At 36.4% G+C, this 15,470-nt stretch overlaps 1 protein-coding gene across 7 annotated transcripts in view; it reads left to right on the top strand.

The window, feature by feature from the left end:
* The window catches only part of HSD17B12 (hydroxysteroid 17-beta dehydrogenase 12), a 299,895-nt gene that overhangs the window by 250,766 nt on the left and 33,659 nt on the right, over window positions 1-15,470 (top strand). For all 7 annotated transcript variants that reach the window (XM_024448573.2, XM_047427074.1, XM_024448571.2 and 4 more), the window contains 2 exons: window positions 7,951-8,015; window positions 8,861-8,905. In XM_024448573.2, coding sequence (XP_024304341.1) covers window positions 7,951-8,015; window positions 8,861-8,905 — 110 coding nt within the window. The remainder of the gene's footprint in view (window positions 1-7,950; window positions 8,016-8,860; window positions 8,906-15,470) is intronic.

Consider the following 15,470-nt stretch of genomic DNA (forward strand, 5'->3'; position numbering starts at 1 on the left):
GATTCTGGAGATTAAGCAGACCCAGATCATGAAAGTCTGAGAAAACCAAGACAATAAGTTTAGACTTCATTGGAAGTACAATGGGAAACCATTTTAGAATTGTAAGCGTGACTTGACAACATATTAGAATTTTAGAGAGATCTTTCTGACTCCCACATAGAATAAGACAAGAATTGATAGGAGGAGGCCAGTAAGACTATTTCAGAAGTGAGACATAAGATGATGAATGTTTACATTAGGAGGATAGCAGAAGTGAACTGACAAAGAGAGGTGTTTAGGAAATAGAAATAGGACCAATTTCTGATGAGGGTCCTCATCGGAGGTCTTGAGTAAAGAAGAAGAAGAATGGTTTTGTGTTTTTTAAGTCATTATTGCCGACATGCATTGAGCACTCTTTCATGCCAGCCACCATGCTAATGAATTTCATTTAATCCTCTACAACCCTATAAGGTAGATATTGATATTTCTATGCCCATTTTACAGACAAGAAACAGTTACAGAGTTAGACATCATCCAGAATTAGACGACTAGCAGTTAGCAACTTCCAGGTTCTGACATGAGCAACAGGGTACCATTTCCCCAAGACAAGAAACCCTGGATCAGGAGCAAAGTCTGTTGAGAAAAATGATGATTTCACTTTGGGATATGTTAAGCTTAAGAGGGTGGTGAGAAAGCCATGTAGGAATTCAAGTAGTTGGGTCGCTGGGCACACATGCCCTTCCTTGCTAGAAGGGAACCTTCTTTGTGTTAAATGTTGAAGAAGCCTGGTGTAGACAATCATGGCAAAGAGAATAGGTGCATGGATTTTTTTTTTTTTTTTAATGTGCTAGGAGACTCATCAGGAACATTATCAGACTAAGTATAGTGCCTTGTAGTTCCATTAGGTATGTTGGCTGAGATTGGATTTGTAAAGTGAGCATAGGACTTCTAGAATTCATATTTATTTCTGTTTACTTGAAAACCACTCACTAATGGTATTAATTAAAGCAGAACCTTTTACTTAAAACTGGGTAATTAGCTCTGTTATTTCAGAAATGTAAATAGAACTGTAAGTCATGAAATTGGTGAATGTTCTTCCCACCAGCTAACATTTAACTACCAACCTCATGTCATCTTTCTTCATTCCCTCTTCCAATTTTATGTATAGCAAATCTTACCTAGTTTTGTAATGAAGATCACATAGCAATTTATAATTAAACAGTGGAAGTGAAATGTTCTGTTGTGTTGCTTCTGATTCAGTCTTAATTTTTCAATTTCTGATTAAAGCACTGCAAATTTAAAGTCTTGTAAACTCTCTTTTATTTGGAAATTGCTACTCACAAATGTATGAAAACTGTAAAGTTTGCAAAATGTTTTACATGGTGTTCCAAATATCATCTGTCAGAGTATGAACATGTGCTAGCTAAAGCAATATGTTAAATAAGGCAAAGATGGAATTTACTTTGCATCACTTTCCAAACTCTCTCTATAGGCTGTAAGAGTGGATCTAATTGAATGAAATAAAGAGGGTAGAGGAGCAATTAGGAGAAATTTAATCAGTATAAATAGCAGCAGCTCTGGTTAATGGATGTCCAGAGTCCACTCTCTCAGAAGGATCTCTCCACTTTGATTCTGGTCATACGTAATAAAAGTAGGGTACTTTGGGCTTGGGCACAAAACAGGAGTTTGATAAATTTTTGTTGAATAAATGACCATACAACAATAACAACTCTTCCTCTTCCATTTATTAACATATTACTACGTCCCAGGCATTGGGTTAAAGATTTTATGTATATGATCTCATTTAATTCTTAAATTACTATCCCCATTTTATGTCAAAGGACAATGAGGCAATCACTAGTTTCTTGTTAGGAGCTGGTAGTAGTGGAGCTGGGACTGAAACCTGGTTCTGTTAGGACTCTGGGGTCTGTATTCTTTTAGCTCAAAAATTTAAGACAGGAAGTTTCCCCCACTTTTGGTATATACACTGTTACTAAAGTATACATTTTAAAAATTCAGTTTATTTTGAAATATAGTGAGGTAGCAGCATTTTTTAAAATCTCCTTTTATTGGCCAGGCGTGATGGCTCACACCTGTAATCCCAGCACTTTGGGAGGCCAAGGCAGGCGGATCACCTGAGGTCAGGAGTTCAAGACCAGCCTGACCAACATGGAGAAACCCCGTCTCTACTAAAACTACAAAAAATTAGCCGGTCGTGGTGGCGCATGCCTGTAATCCCAGCTACTCAGTAGGCTGAGGCAGGAGAATCGCTTGAACCCAGGAGACGGATTGCAGTGAGCTGAGATCGAGCCATTGCACTCCAGCCTGGGCAACATGAGCGAAATTCTGTCTCAAAATAAGTAAATAAATAAGCAAATAAATAAATAAGATGTCTTTTTATTAACTCTAAGTGCTGGAACTGGATTAGCATTTATAACCACAAATGTTAGTGAAATATAAACTTTTTCTCCTTTGATACAATGAGAAGGAAACAGGAGGGGTTACTTTGCATTATTTGATGTATGTCGGGAAGCCCGGCCATTAGGCAACATATTTTTAAACCACCTTAATTTCCTATATCTCTGATTAATCTGGAAAAAGAAACAGGTTGAAGGTGATCTGTAGGGGGTTACCCGTATCTGTTAGAATTGTTTGTTCAAATGGATTTTTAATTTCTAGTAATTTATTGTTGTTTGCTCCTCTCTCACGCCTAACCCAGATACCAAAAATCTAATTTTCTGATGACATCATTATATCTCTATAGCAGCTGGCTTTGAGAGAGGATTCTAAGTTCAGTGAGATCAGCAGCAAACGAACTTAGAAGAAACAGAAATCTTGTAAATATTCTTTTTTTAAGAGCATAAAATTTGGAAATGATTTTAAAGCAGTATAATTTAGAAATTATATATATATATATATATATATATATATATATATAAAATTCAGAATTATTCCGTGGATTTTCTGTGTCTTTAAAATGCAACACATAATGATATTAGTGTTTTCTGAGGTTCTGGATGGGGGCCGAGGAGAGCGTAGCTAAGCATGGCCTATGTCAGTTCTTCTCTGCAAGGATCAACTCTTAAGAGGATGGCTCCTCTGCCCTCCACCACCTTTTCTTTCCACTTCCTTTGGCATTATTCTTGGTCTGTTTTCACCTCTGTTCTCTGCCTGCCTCATCTCTTTTATTGAGCGCTTCCCAGTCTTAGACCTCTAGTCAGAAACCAATGGGAAAGATTTTGTTACTGTCCAGCACCCTACAGTGACTGGGATGGTGGTGGGAATTCCATGATGACATAGATATCTGTTGTTTCCTGAGAGACATCATGTGTTGTTACACAATAAAAAGGTTTTTCACTGAAAAAAATGTTTAAATCTGTCTCTAGTGCCTCACTTCAAGAATTCAAGAAAACTCACTAATAAACATGTTTAATGCTAATTTAAGATGCGACCATTTAGAAGGGATCTTCAACTATCTGAATAATGTTGGAGCAACATGTGCCATTGTTTGGTTTGGCGAATCCTATAATGAATCCTGTAATATGTAAAGATGGCATTGCGTGCACCCATTCTTAATGAGATTATATTATAATGGGAGTATTTCCATCCTTCACTCCTACTCAAAGCCTGTTCTTTCTCTTCCTTTTGCAATTCCCTGAAAGCTTTCTGCCTGCTGTTAGGTTATTGCTGCCACCTGACGTCTCAAAATAAAATTGCCGTGGGTTTGCTTTTCCAAAAGATTCGCACTATTCTGCATTTTATGGAAATAACTATTTGAGAGCAACAGTTTTTTCTCTATACTCCTAAATAAGAGCATTCTGAAGTGATTACTTATGGTGGGGAGATTATGGGTATCATTCATTCCACAAGCAAAAGGTGGAACTAATAGTACAGGAGGGAATGTAGGAGTCCTAATCCCTAGAATAGGACAAATCGCCATTGTGACCTTGGTGTGTACTTCACCTCATAAAATTGGACTCAGTGCTCTTAACAGCCTTATTCCAGCTTTAACATTGTTTTATTGTGTGTACTTTTATTTATGAAAACATAGCCCTTCTCCGTGATACTATTTACTTTTTTGGACTAAAGTTCTCAGTGTTGAACAGGTTTTCTCTCTTTTTTTTAACAGATACATAATATTTCTACATATTTATAGGATACATGTGATATTTTATTACATGCATAGGATGTGTAATGATCATGTCAGGGTGGCTGAAGTATCTGTCACTTTGAGTATCATTTCTATGTGTTGGGAACATTAAAAGACCTCTCTTCTAGCCATTTTGAAATATACAATACATTGTTGTTAACTATAGTCACCCTACTCTGCTATTGAACATTAGAACTTATTCCTTCTATCTAACTATATGTACCCACTAACCATCCTCTCTTCATCCCTCACCCACCCACACACACCTGCCCCACCTTCTGGTATCTATTATTCTACTCTCTACCTCCATGAGACCAACTTTTTTAGCTCCTACATATGAATGAGAACATGCAATATTTGTCTTTCTGTGCCTGGCTTATCTCACTTAACACAGTGACCTCCAGTTCCATCCATGTTGCTATAAATTACAGGATTTTATTCTTTTCATGGCCAAATAGTATTTTATTGTGTATATATACTAAATTTTTCTTTATCTATTTATTTGTTGATGGACACTTAAGTCAATTCCTTATCTTTGCTATTGTGAATGATGCTGCAATAAACACGGGGGTGCAGGTATCTATTTGATATACTGATTTATTTTCCTTTGGATAAATACTAGTAGTGGGATTGTTGGATCATGTGATAGTTCTATTTTTAATATTTTGAGAAACCTCCATACTGTTTTCCACAGTGGCTATACTAATTTACATTCCCACCAACAGTGGATAAGAATTCTGCTTTCTCTGCGTCCTTGCCAGCATCTGTTATTTTTTGGCTTTTTAATAACAGCTACTCTAACTGGGGTAAGATGATATCTCATTGTCATTTTGATTCAGATTTCTGTGATGATTGGTGATGAGCATTTTTTCATTTATCTGCTGGCCATTTGTATGTCTTCTTTTGAGAAATATCTATCCATATCCTCAGCCCACTTTTTAATAAGTTTTCTTGTTTTTTAAACTATTCAGTTGTTTGAGTTCTTTGTATATTCTAGATATTAGTCTCTTGTCAGATGGATAGTTTGCAAATATATTCTTCCATTCAACAGGTAGTCTCTTCACTCTGTTGATTATTTCCTTTGCTGTGCAGATGCTTTTTGGTTGAATATGTTTTCTTATAGAGCTATGTTAAATAGATGTTCACATTTTCATTGTGTGAATAAATAGCTTTGATAGCTTTCCTTTGCTCAATTATCAGAGACACAGCTGAAGACTCTCTATTGTTTGTTTTTGTTTTTGTTTGAGACAGAGTCTCCCTCTGTCACCCATGCTGGAGTGCAGTGGCGTGATCTCGGCTCACTGCAACCTTCGCCTCCTGGGTTCAAGCAATTCTCCTACCTCAGCCTCCCGAGTAGCTGGGACTACAGGCACGTGCCATCGTGCCTGGCTAATTTTTTGTATTTTTAGTAGAGATGGGGTTTCACCGTGTTAGCCAGGATGATCTAGATCTCCTGACCTCGTGATCCGCCTGCCTCAGTCTCCCAAAGTGCTGGGATTACAGGCGTGAGCCACCACGCCTGGCAACTCTCTATTGTTAATACAGTCATAACCAGAATAACACTTCTCTGCTTGCTTAGTTATTCAGGGACTTCCTTTGCTTAACTTTGTACTTATAGTACATGTAAAGATTACAAAGTCAACTGTGCTGCTTGCAAAGTTCCTAGATTTTTTTTAAAAAAAATGAAATCTGGATTTTAAAAGATTTATAATTACACTGTTCAATTTTCCTTTGCATTTTGAAATATAGCATTAATATTCCCATAGGCTAGAGGGAAATCTGAAGAAAGTTTTCTTGATATGAAGAGTGAAGGGAGATAGTTCACTGTACTTCATGAAATTTTTTTTAATTCTGATGAATATTACAACTTGGCAAAGCCTTTCCTGGAAGATTCTGTTATCTTAAACTGATATAAAGAATATTTTGTTTATGTGCAATATTTTAACAGATATTTTGGGTTTTGCTGTTTCTTTTAGTCATATTCTAAATTATTCATCCTTTGTAATTCTGTAGGTGGTTAAAGCAAAGTCAAGTGAACATAAAGCCTTACCTTCAACTAGTTTTGGCCTAATTGTTTACAGATCTTTTATAGAATTGACTCTTGGGATGCCTGGTGGGTGGAGAACCTATTGAATAAAATAAAAATGGATCTGGACCTGCTGTTATTAATTATGTTTAGATACTATCCCTATTCAGATGAGTATGAATCCTAATTAAATAAAGTTTGCTTTGTCATTGTCTTTTGCTTACATTTCTTCTGACAGGTTTCAGTGGTATTGTTGTAAAATCTTGCAACTTACAGCCTCAAGTGATTGGCTTATAATTAAATATAAAACCCTTACTGAGTTCCTTTGAACTATTAATTTTGTTAGACTATTGAAAAGTTATTATTACTAATATCAGGTTTATATGGCATAATTCCTTATAAGCTGTAGCAGACTGATCATAATGTCATCATCTTCTTGCAACTGAAACTTCTCTTTTTTAAATACTTCATAATTTTATTAAACATTGTTATGAGATGTTTGTTTATTATTCAGTTATTATGATTTTTTTTTTTCTGAGTTGAATACTGGATAAAGGTGTGTGAAGGTTTTAACATAGTGGTTAAAAGCCTAGTCTCTGAAGTCAAATTTCACGAGTTTGAATCCCGGCATACTTTGCTCTATCACCGGGCAATTTTTTTAACTGCTGTGAACTTCAGTTTCCTAATATGTAAGAGGAAAATAATAATAGGAACTACCTAATAGGGTTGTTGTGATGATTAAGTGTAGATAGGCAGATAGATAGATCATCTATCTCATGAGTTATTTATTTAGTTAAAATAAATTCTAAGATATTTTATTCATTGATTGATTCCTGCAAATGTTCTTTGTTCTGGGATTGTCTTTGTCTTTCCAGGGCTGGGGAAAACCATAGGATATTTGAGTATTAAAATCTTATATCTAAATATATATAGGTTTATTCATATCTTGTCAATTGTCTTGTAGCCCCAACTTTAAGTTAGGTGATTGGGAAGGTAAGGGGGTGTGGTATAAGGAAAATTAAGATATGACCTCAACTTTTGATAGATGGTTTATTGGAGACATTTAGTCTGACCCACTCCCTTGGCCACCAGAAAGAAGCCTTCCCTCACTTTCCAGTTGAAGTCAGGCTCTGCAGGAAAGGCTCCCATGGCACTCTGTTCTGTCATGAAATAATTGTTTGTTTCTTTCTTTTCCTACTAGATTGTATGCTCCGTGATACCAACATTTTTTCCCCACTTTTTAAAGTTCCTAGCACATGTCTTACTCAAAAGTGTATGGCACATATTTTTTGAGTTATTAAATGAGCTCTCATTCTGGAGCGGAACAAAATGCGATGCATATTGTACATGACTTATCCCAAATCACATGTTTTCTGAAAACTGTTATAACTAGAACTCAAGTTTTCAGTATCCTGGACCACGGTACTCTCCACTCTTTCTACTGCACTATGAAAATTTAAGGTCTGGAGAAGAGTTAAGTAATATCTCCAAATAACAGTATGATAGAGGCAGAATATACATATCCCAAAGGGCTATGGAAAGTGAGAGGCAAGTATAAGTTCTGTCAGTTGCTGGATGGTAGGTACAGGAAGGTTTAATGAAGGAAGAGACATTTAAGTTGGACTTTTAAGGATAGATTTTGGACAGAAAGGTGTGGAAAAGGTTATGCTAGCCATAAACAGCATTTTATATAATTATATATATCATATTAGTCTTGATATCTTTAATGTCATTATTTTAACAAATCTTTAAAATATGCATATGTTACTCAGCTAATCATCTTGTTCTATTTCAGTGAACAACGTGGGAATGTCGTATGAGTATCCTGAATACTTTTTGGATGTTCCTGACTTGGACAATGTAAGTCTTTCTTTGTGTATTATGGTAACAAAAATAATGCATGCAGGTATTGGTATAATGATTCACACTATGACACTGGAGTCCAGCTGCCTGTGGTTCACACGCTGGCTCTTCTGTTTACTACCTGAGTTCCCTGGGTATGGGCCTAGCCATACTTAGTCTCAGTTTCCTTGCTCATAAAATGGGCAGCTTCATAGGGGTATTAGAAAGATAGAATGAGAAAATATTTATAACCTCACTTATACAGTGCCAGATTCAATAATAGCTCTAGTTTTGTTATTACTCTTATTTTTGTTTGTGTTATATCAAAATAGCTCTGTTGTAAGTTTTATGATTCTAAACATCAACTTAAAAATTGTAAGTATGTTAATATACAGCAACGTGGTTGATTCAGGTAAACCAGCTCTACCAAAATGAAAGTGACATCCTTGATGCATGCATAATCCTTTACTGAAAACGAGAAAAGCATATCATTGAAGGACTATGTAAAATTTTAAAAATTATTGAAAATCCTAGGTTCAGTAATTTCTATGCTCCATACTAGCAGAAAGGAAATTGCAAAGTGTTCTATTTATTTTAGATTTAATGTGTCTTTTTACTTCCAGATTTTACTTGCACATACACTTTGGATTCTGCATGTTAGCATCAATTATCACCTTAGTTAGGAAAATATAACACGGAGAGTAAAATGAAATCTGCCTCTCTACCCCAACTCTTGTCATTTTTCCAAAATCTCTGCAATATCTGGGGAAATGTTCAATGCTTCTCTAGATTACCTAAGTAGATATCTAATAGGGTCACTTTCATGATCAAGTGTATATAAAATTCTCAATATTTTTTTGCAGGTGATCAAGAAAATGATAAATATTAATATTCTTTCTGTTTGTAAGGTAAGCATCCTTGTTATAAAGATGTCATCCTTTTTTGGTTCCTTCTATTCAAAAACACTGACATAATCAGCTTGTTCACCTGAGTCTACTCTTGTTTAGATGCAGATACATGTATTCCAGATACAAGTGGTCTATTAACTTATTTCTTCAGAAAACATAAAGAACTGAAGACCAAGCAGGTGCCTGTATTATTTGACTTTTCATTTATTTTTATTTTATTTAATTATTTAATTTTTTATTTCCATAGGTTATTGGGGAACAGGTGGTGTTTGGTTACATGAGTAAGTTCTTTAGTTGTGATTTGTGAGATTTTGGTGCACCCATCACTCAAGCAGTATACTCTGCACACAATTTGTAGTCTTTTATCCCTTACCCTCTTCCACCCTTTTCCTGAGTCCCCGAAGTCCATTGTATCATTCTTATGCCTTTGCATCCTCGTAGCTTAGTTCCCACTTATAAGTGAGAACACAGGATGTTGGTTTTCCATTCCTGAGTTACGTCACTTAGAATAATAGTCTCCAGTCTCATCCAGGTTGCTACAAATGCCATTAATTAATTCCTTTTTATGACTGAGTAGTATTCCATCATATATATCTATATCTATATCTATATCTATATCTATATCTATATCTATATCTATATCTATATCTATATATATATATATATATCTCGTGGTTTTGGTTTGCATTTCCCTGATCATTAGTGATGCTGAACATTTTTTCATATGTTTGTTGGCCATTTGCATATTGTCTTTTGAGAATTGTCTATTCATGTCCTTAGTCCACTTTTTCATGGGATTATTTGCTTTTTTCTTGCTAATTTGTTTGAGTTCATTGTAGATTCTGGATATTAGTCCTTTGTCAGATGCATAGATTGTGAAGATTTTCTCCCACTCTGTGGGTTGTCTGTTTACTCTGCTGATGTTCCTTTAGCCGTGCAGAAGTTCTTTAGTTTAATGAATGAGTCCTAGCTATTTATCTTTGTTTTTATTGCATTCGCTTTTGGGTTCTTGGTCATGAAATCCTTGCCTAAGCCAATGTTTAGAAGGGTTTTTCCAATGATATCTTTTAGAATTTTTATAGTTTCAGGTCCTAAATTTAAGTCCTTGATCCATCTTGAGTTGATTTTTGTATAAGGTGATAGATGGGGATCCAGTTTCATTCTGCTACATGTGGCTTGCCAATTATCCCAGCACCATTTGTTGAATAGGGTGTCCTTTCTCCACTTTATGTTTTTGTTTGTTTTATTGAAGATCAGTGGGCTGTGTTTGGCTTTATTTCTGGGTTCTCTGTTCTGTTCAGTTGGTCTACGTGCCTATTTTTATACCAGTCCCATGCTGTTTGGTGACTATGGCGTTATAGTGTAGTTTGAAATCAGGTACTGTGATGCCTCCAGATTTGTCCTTTTTGCTTAGTCTTTTTTTTTGGCTATGTGGACTTTCTTTTGGTTCCATATGAATTTTAGGATTGTTTTTTCTAGTTCTGTGAAGAATGGCGGTGGTATTTTGATGGGAATTGCATTGAATTTGTAGATTGCTTTTGGCAGTATGGTCATTTTCACAATATTGATTCTACCCATCCATGATCATGGGATGTATTTCCATTTGTTTATGTCATCTATGATTCCTTTCAGCAGTGTTTTTTAGTTTATTAAATGCTTTTTGTTTATTAAGTGCCTTCTATATGCAAGCACTGTGGTAGCTACTGGGACTACAAAAACTTAGGCTGGAGACTTATTTTTACAAAGATTTCATCCACACGCTATTTGTCACTGATAAATTGTTTCCATTTTGTCTTCCCCATGATTCTTTTCAGTTGAGGAACTTAAATGTTGTGATAAGCATTGTACGGGGAATATGGAAGTATAAAGCAATGGGTGTGATTTTTAATAGTTACTCATAATAACTAGTCTGGTTGCTAGTTGCTAAGCATGTGTTATAGTCATGTCACATGTATGTGCCAACAAAAGACAACAAGCCAATACCTGCCAAAAGGAGGAATACTTAGCAAGTATGAGCATCTCAACACCATTTTTTCTTATATTGTATTAGTAACTACAAAAATATACTGTACTTTGATTATACATACCAGAGCAGTGAAAAATAATTGCCTGAGGCAGAATTCTCATGGGCAGTGTCAGATACTTGAAATTTGAACATACTCATAGAAAGCCAAATCCATTTTCAGTAACTCATATATACTAGTTTAAGGAAATTCAAAGCATGTTTAACTCAATGTTTAACTTTGTTGTTATTAGCCAAGTTTTTTTCTCATATAAGATTCAGTTTAAGTGAGGTAAACTAATTATAAGTGGACCTGTGAGTGAGTCTGGAGCAAGACTCTCATGCACAAAATTGATGCATTTAAAACATGGCTAATAGGAATATATCTAATAGTCCCAAGATCATTATAAGGGCTCTCAAAATGTTATTGTTGTTCTTAAACTCAGAGCTGATACAGATTTTAATAATATGTGGAACTATGACTTTATTTTTTAGCAAGCAAAGGTTTTTGATCAAAAATATCACTTTTAGTCTACAACGTATATATTTTATAATTTTTGCCTTTTGAAATGACCAACGTGTACTATTATTTTGATATATCTTTTCTGGTACATTTGGCCAAGTGCTTGAAAATAATAAGTGTTAAAAACAATGTACATGTGTTTCATAATATCTTGTGCTGAGTTAATGATAAAATATGTTTGTTTTAATTTTATTTTCTAGAATTGTTAATACTAATTTCAGATTAGTCTTCTGATAATTTTAACTCCTCTGTCAGATAAACTGTGTAAGCCATTTACTTTAGATCCATTAGTATTTTCTCTTATAACCTCCTGCTTGTCTACACTTACATGTTTGTATACTCTTATGGTGTAAAACCCTGGCCTCTTCTGTCTCCATGAACATGCCATCCCTTGGCTCACAGTCTGCAGAAAACTAATGATAGAAAGCCAAGGTCCTGGCCTTAATCTGTGAGAATCAGTCATCCTGCTGTGCTTCATGGTCACAGACTTTATCCTTCATGCAGGATCTGAGCACAGATCAGCATATTCAGTGGTCATTACGGTGAGTCTCTGCTTAAAGACCAAATAGGGGAAAGTATGGATAAAACAGCACAAATCGAAGAGCACCATGAAGTAACTTTCAGTGTTTTAAATATAATGATGAAATAAAAATGAGATATCATTTTTAATATCTTGACAAATTATAAAATGCTTCTCCCACCTCTTCATCCTTCCTCTTCTTCATTCTTCATTGACATTGGCATATATACTTGTTCCCATGAAATGAGTTAGTGGAGACAAATGCTAATTTATTAAACACTTGCATGCCATATTGATGGTAAGTGTCATTGGCAGAACTGGATATCTACTTACAATTTTTATACATAAGCTTTCTTTTGCAAACCTAATCCCATTTAAAAAGCACTAAGGGAGTTTGCTATTTAAAGCACTTCTTCATGGAGCCAAATAAGCATCCCTTCATTTATCTTTAATATGAATCTGAATTTTCCTGTACCTTTGTGATGTGTACTTCTAATAGAAAAACAAATCAAAACTCTCAACATGTGGAATCAATGGATCATGGAATTAATACCATCTGGAGGCTTAGCCAATTAGTTTTTGTTGTACTACATGCAGAAGCAATGTAGTTAACATTGCTTCTGATCACAGTTGACTAGTGACCATTCAGATAGAAAATGGCTTGACGGGAGCAGTGGGAGGTGAGTGATGTGCAGTGGCTAACCAGCAGGTAAGAAGAGGAAGTTAGGGCATGACTGGGCAAGACCTTGAGTGCTGTGCTCAACAGGCTAGAGAGCTACAGAAAGCCTTCAAGTAGATGTAAGGTGTGATCTGACCTATGTTTTAGAAAGGCAGTTCTATTGGCAGAGTGACACGGTAATAGGTATTTTATGATGCATGTGTTTTTCTTACTTATACTGAGAGAAAGGCATTCACCTTGACGAAATTTGTGTGACGCTCCCAGGTTTAGGACTCTTTGGTGCTGCTGTGATTTGCCCTATAATATATTTGGATGAATTGCACCTATTGTTCTTTAGTTGACTGTGTTACGTTGCCAGGGCCAGGGCCACATTTTCAGTAGCAATGGCTGTTTGGAGCCCTGGGGTAACTTAAAAGAAGATGAAAATTGGTGCAGCTACAGAATCTCCAAAGGTTTTATTGTGGCTGGACATCAGGGGAACTGGGGCATGGATGTCTGCAGCCTAATGCCACAATGAATTTCTCAGAAAAGGCCTGTATAAGGAAGAGAGCAACCTCTTCTCACCATCAATGTTGGGCCAAGTTTTATCTCCTCACTAAACTACATGACAGGGAATAACTGGCTGAGAAGTGTTCCAGGAGAGATTGGTGAAATCAGCTTGGCCTTGTGACTTTGGGCTTGTGCCCCCTACTTTGGAGATGTTTGCTGAGAAGGACCCCAGCATCTTATTGTAAGGCCTGTACTGTGCCATGAACACTGAATGACCTGGCTTTACATTCCTTCAGATCCACCTATTTATGTTCTGGATCAGTAGGTCAGATGATTGTAAAAATCACATAAGTTCCGTGTTTCAATAGAGGAATGACAGAAGTGAAATATCCTGAGACCAAAGAAATTGTAGGTCACCACCAGATAAAATGGTAGTGATGTGGCCAGAAAAATATTGGGGAAGAAATATTAATCAGAAAGTTTTGGCTATAGACCCATGATGTTTAATCATAAGCAGTTCTTCCAGGCCACTTAGTTCTCCAGTTTCATCCGATGGTTTTACTTTTTAATCTTATCCAGCATTTTGAGTTTATTCCTTTCTTCCCTCTCAGTGGCTCACTTCAATGGGCTCTCCCTTTACAAGGGATGTTTCAAAGCCTTGTTGCCTGCTTTTCCAGTTTTACTCTTAAATCCTTCAGGAATAAATTTAGTCTTGCTCCTGTTCCCTGCCTGCATACAGTTAAGTGATATAGAAACTCTATATGTAGGTAACCAATATGGCAGGTAGATCAGTCTCAAACTGTAAGAGAAGTCCTACCAGACAGAGCTTTCTTCTGATTGCAGATGCTCTGTGACTAAAATCTAAGATACATCTTATTTCTCATCAAGAACAATGACCTTTATCCCAGAAACAGTGGAGTTTAGAGACAATTGAACCTCAAGACATTGAACCACACTTTTCTAAAAATAGTTCTAGTTTTATACCTGGAGGGATTTCCATCCCAGAATACTGAGAGAGTTTGCAAATGAAATTATTGAACTGCTATTGATTGCTATTAGAGAAATCATGGAGAATGGGAGAAGTGCCGCGTCTCCAGAGGCAGACAAATGTAGGTTTCATTTCAAACAGGGTGTACACTGAGGTTCACATCAGTCCAAAGACAGATTCTAAAACAAATATTGCTGTGCCGTTTGTTTCTGATTTGAGAGCACCTGTTTTAACAGCTACCAAATTTGGGGTTGCCTTGCTTTTCTGGGCCAGATTATTCTTTTTTATTCGCAATTTTCAGACTTCAAGAGACCCTAGACTCTTCACTCCTTTCCAGATAAGCACTGCCCAAACAGTATTACCTGAACTGCCTGTGGTGCCTATGGAAAGGTGGGAAAACCATTCCTTCAGGTGATACTGAATCCTAAAACTGCTGCTGCACTTAGTGAATGAGGTGGAAGCTAGACAATGGCCCTGCCTACAGCTGAATCTCTTAGGAAATGTCCAGGCCACCATTCTGACAAGTAGACAGGATGTTCTTACCTTCTTTATTACCTTTTTCTTAGAGCAGAGAAGGAAATGGATGGGTGTGCGGCCCAAAGTGAAATATATTAACAGCCTCCACATATTGCAAAATACTGTTCTGTTTTGTTGTTTGCTTTATTTGGGAATGGGGAAGAGCATCTCAAGCAGGGGGTTATATAGTAATTTCTTTTTACTTTTTTAAGTCAACTTGAGATTTAATATTTTTTTATTATACTTAAAGTTTTAGGGTACATGTGCACAACTTGCAGGTTTGTTACATATGTATACATGTGCCATGTTGGTGTGCTGCACCCATTAACTCGTCATTTACATTAGGTATATCTCCTAATGCTATCCCTCCCCACTTTCCCCACCCCACAACAGGCCCTGGGGTGTGATGTTCCCCTTCCTGTGTCCAAGTGTTGTCATTGTTCAATTCCCACCTGTGAGTGAGAACATGCGGTGTTTGGTTTTTTGGCCTTGCGATAGTTTGCTGAGAATGATGGTTTCCACCTTCATCCATGTCCCTACACAGGACATGAACTCATCCTTTTTATGGCTGCATAGTATTCCATGGCGTATATGTGCCACATTTTCTTAATCCAGTCTATCATTGTTGGACATTTGGGTTGGTTCCAAGTCTTTGCTATTGTGAATAGTGCCACAATAAACATACGTGTGCATGTGTCTTTATAGCAGCATGATTTATACTCCTTTGGGTACATACCCAGTAATGAGATGGCTGGGTCAAATGGTATTTGTAGTTCTAGATCTCTGGGAAATCGCCACACTGACTTCCACAATGGTTGAACTAGTTTACAGTCCCACCAACCGTGTGG

The sequence above is a fragment of the Homo sapiens genome, chromosome 11 (genome assembly GCF_000001405.40).
Source record: "Homo sapiens chromosome 11, GRCh38.p14 Primary Assembly".
In the NCBI taxonomy this organism is placed as follows: domain Eukaryota; kingdom Metazoa; phylum Chordata; class Mammalia; order Primates; family Hominidae; genus Homo; species Homo sapiens.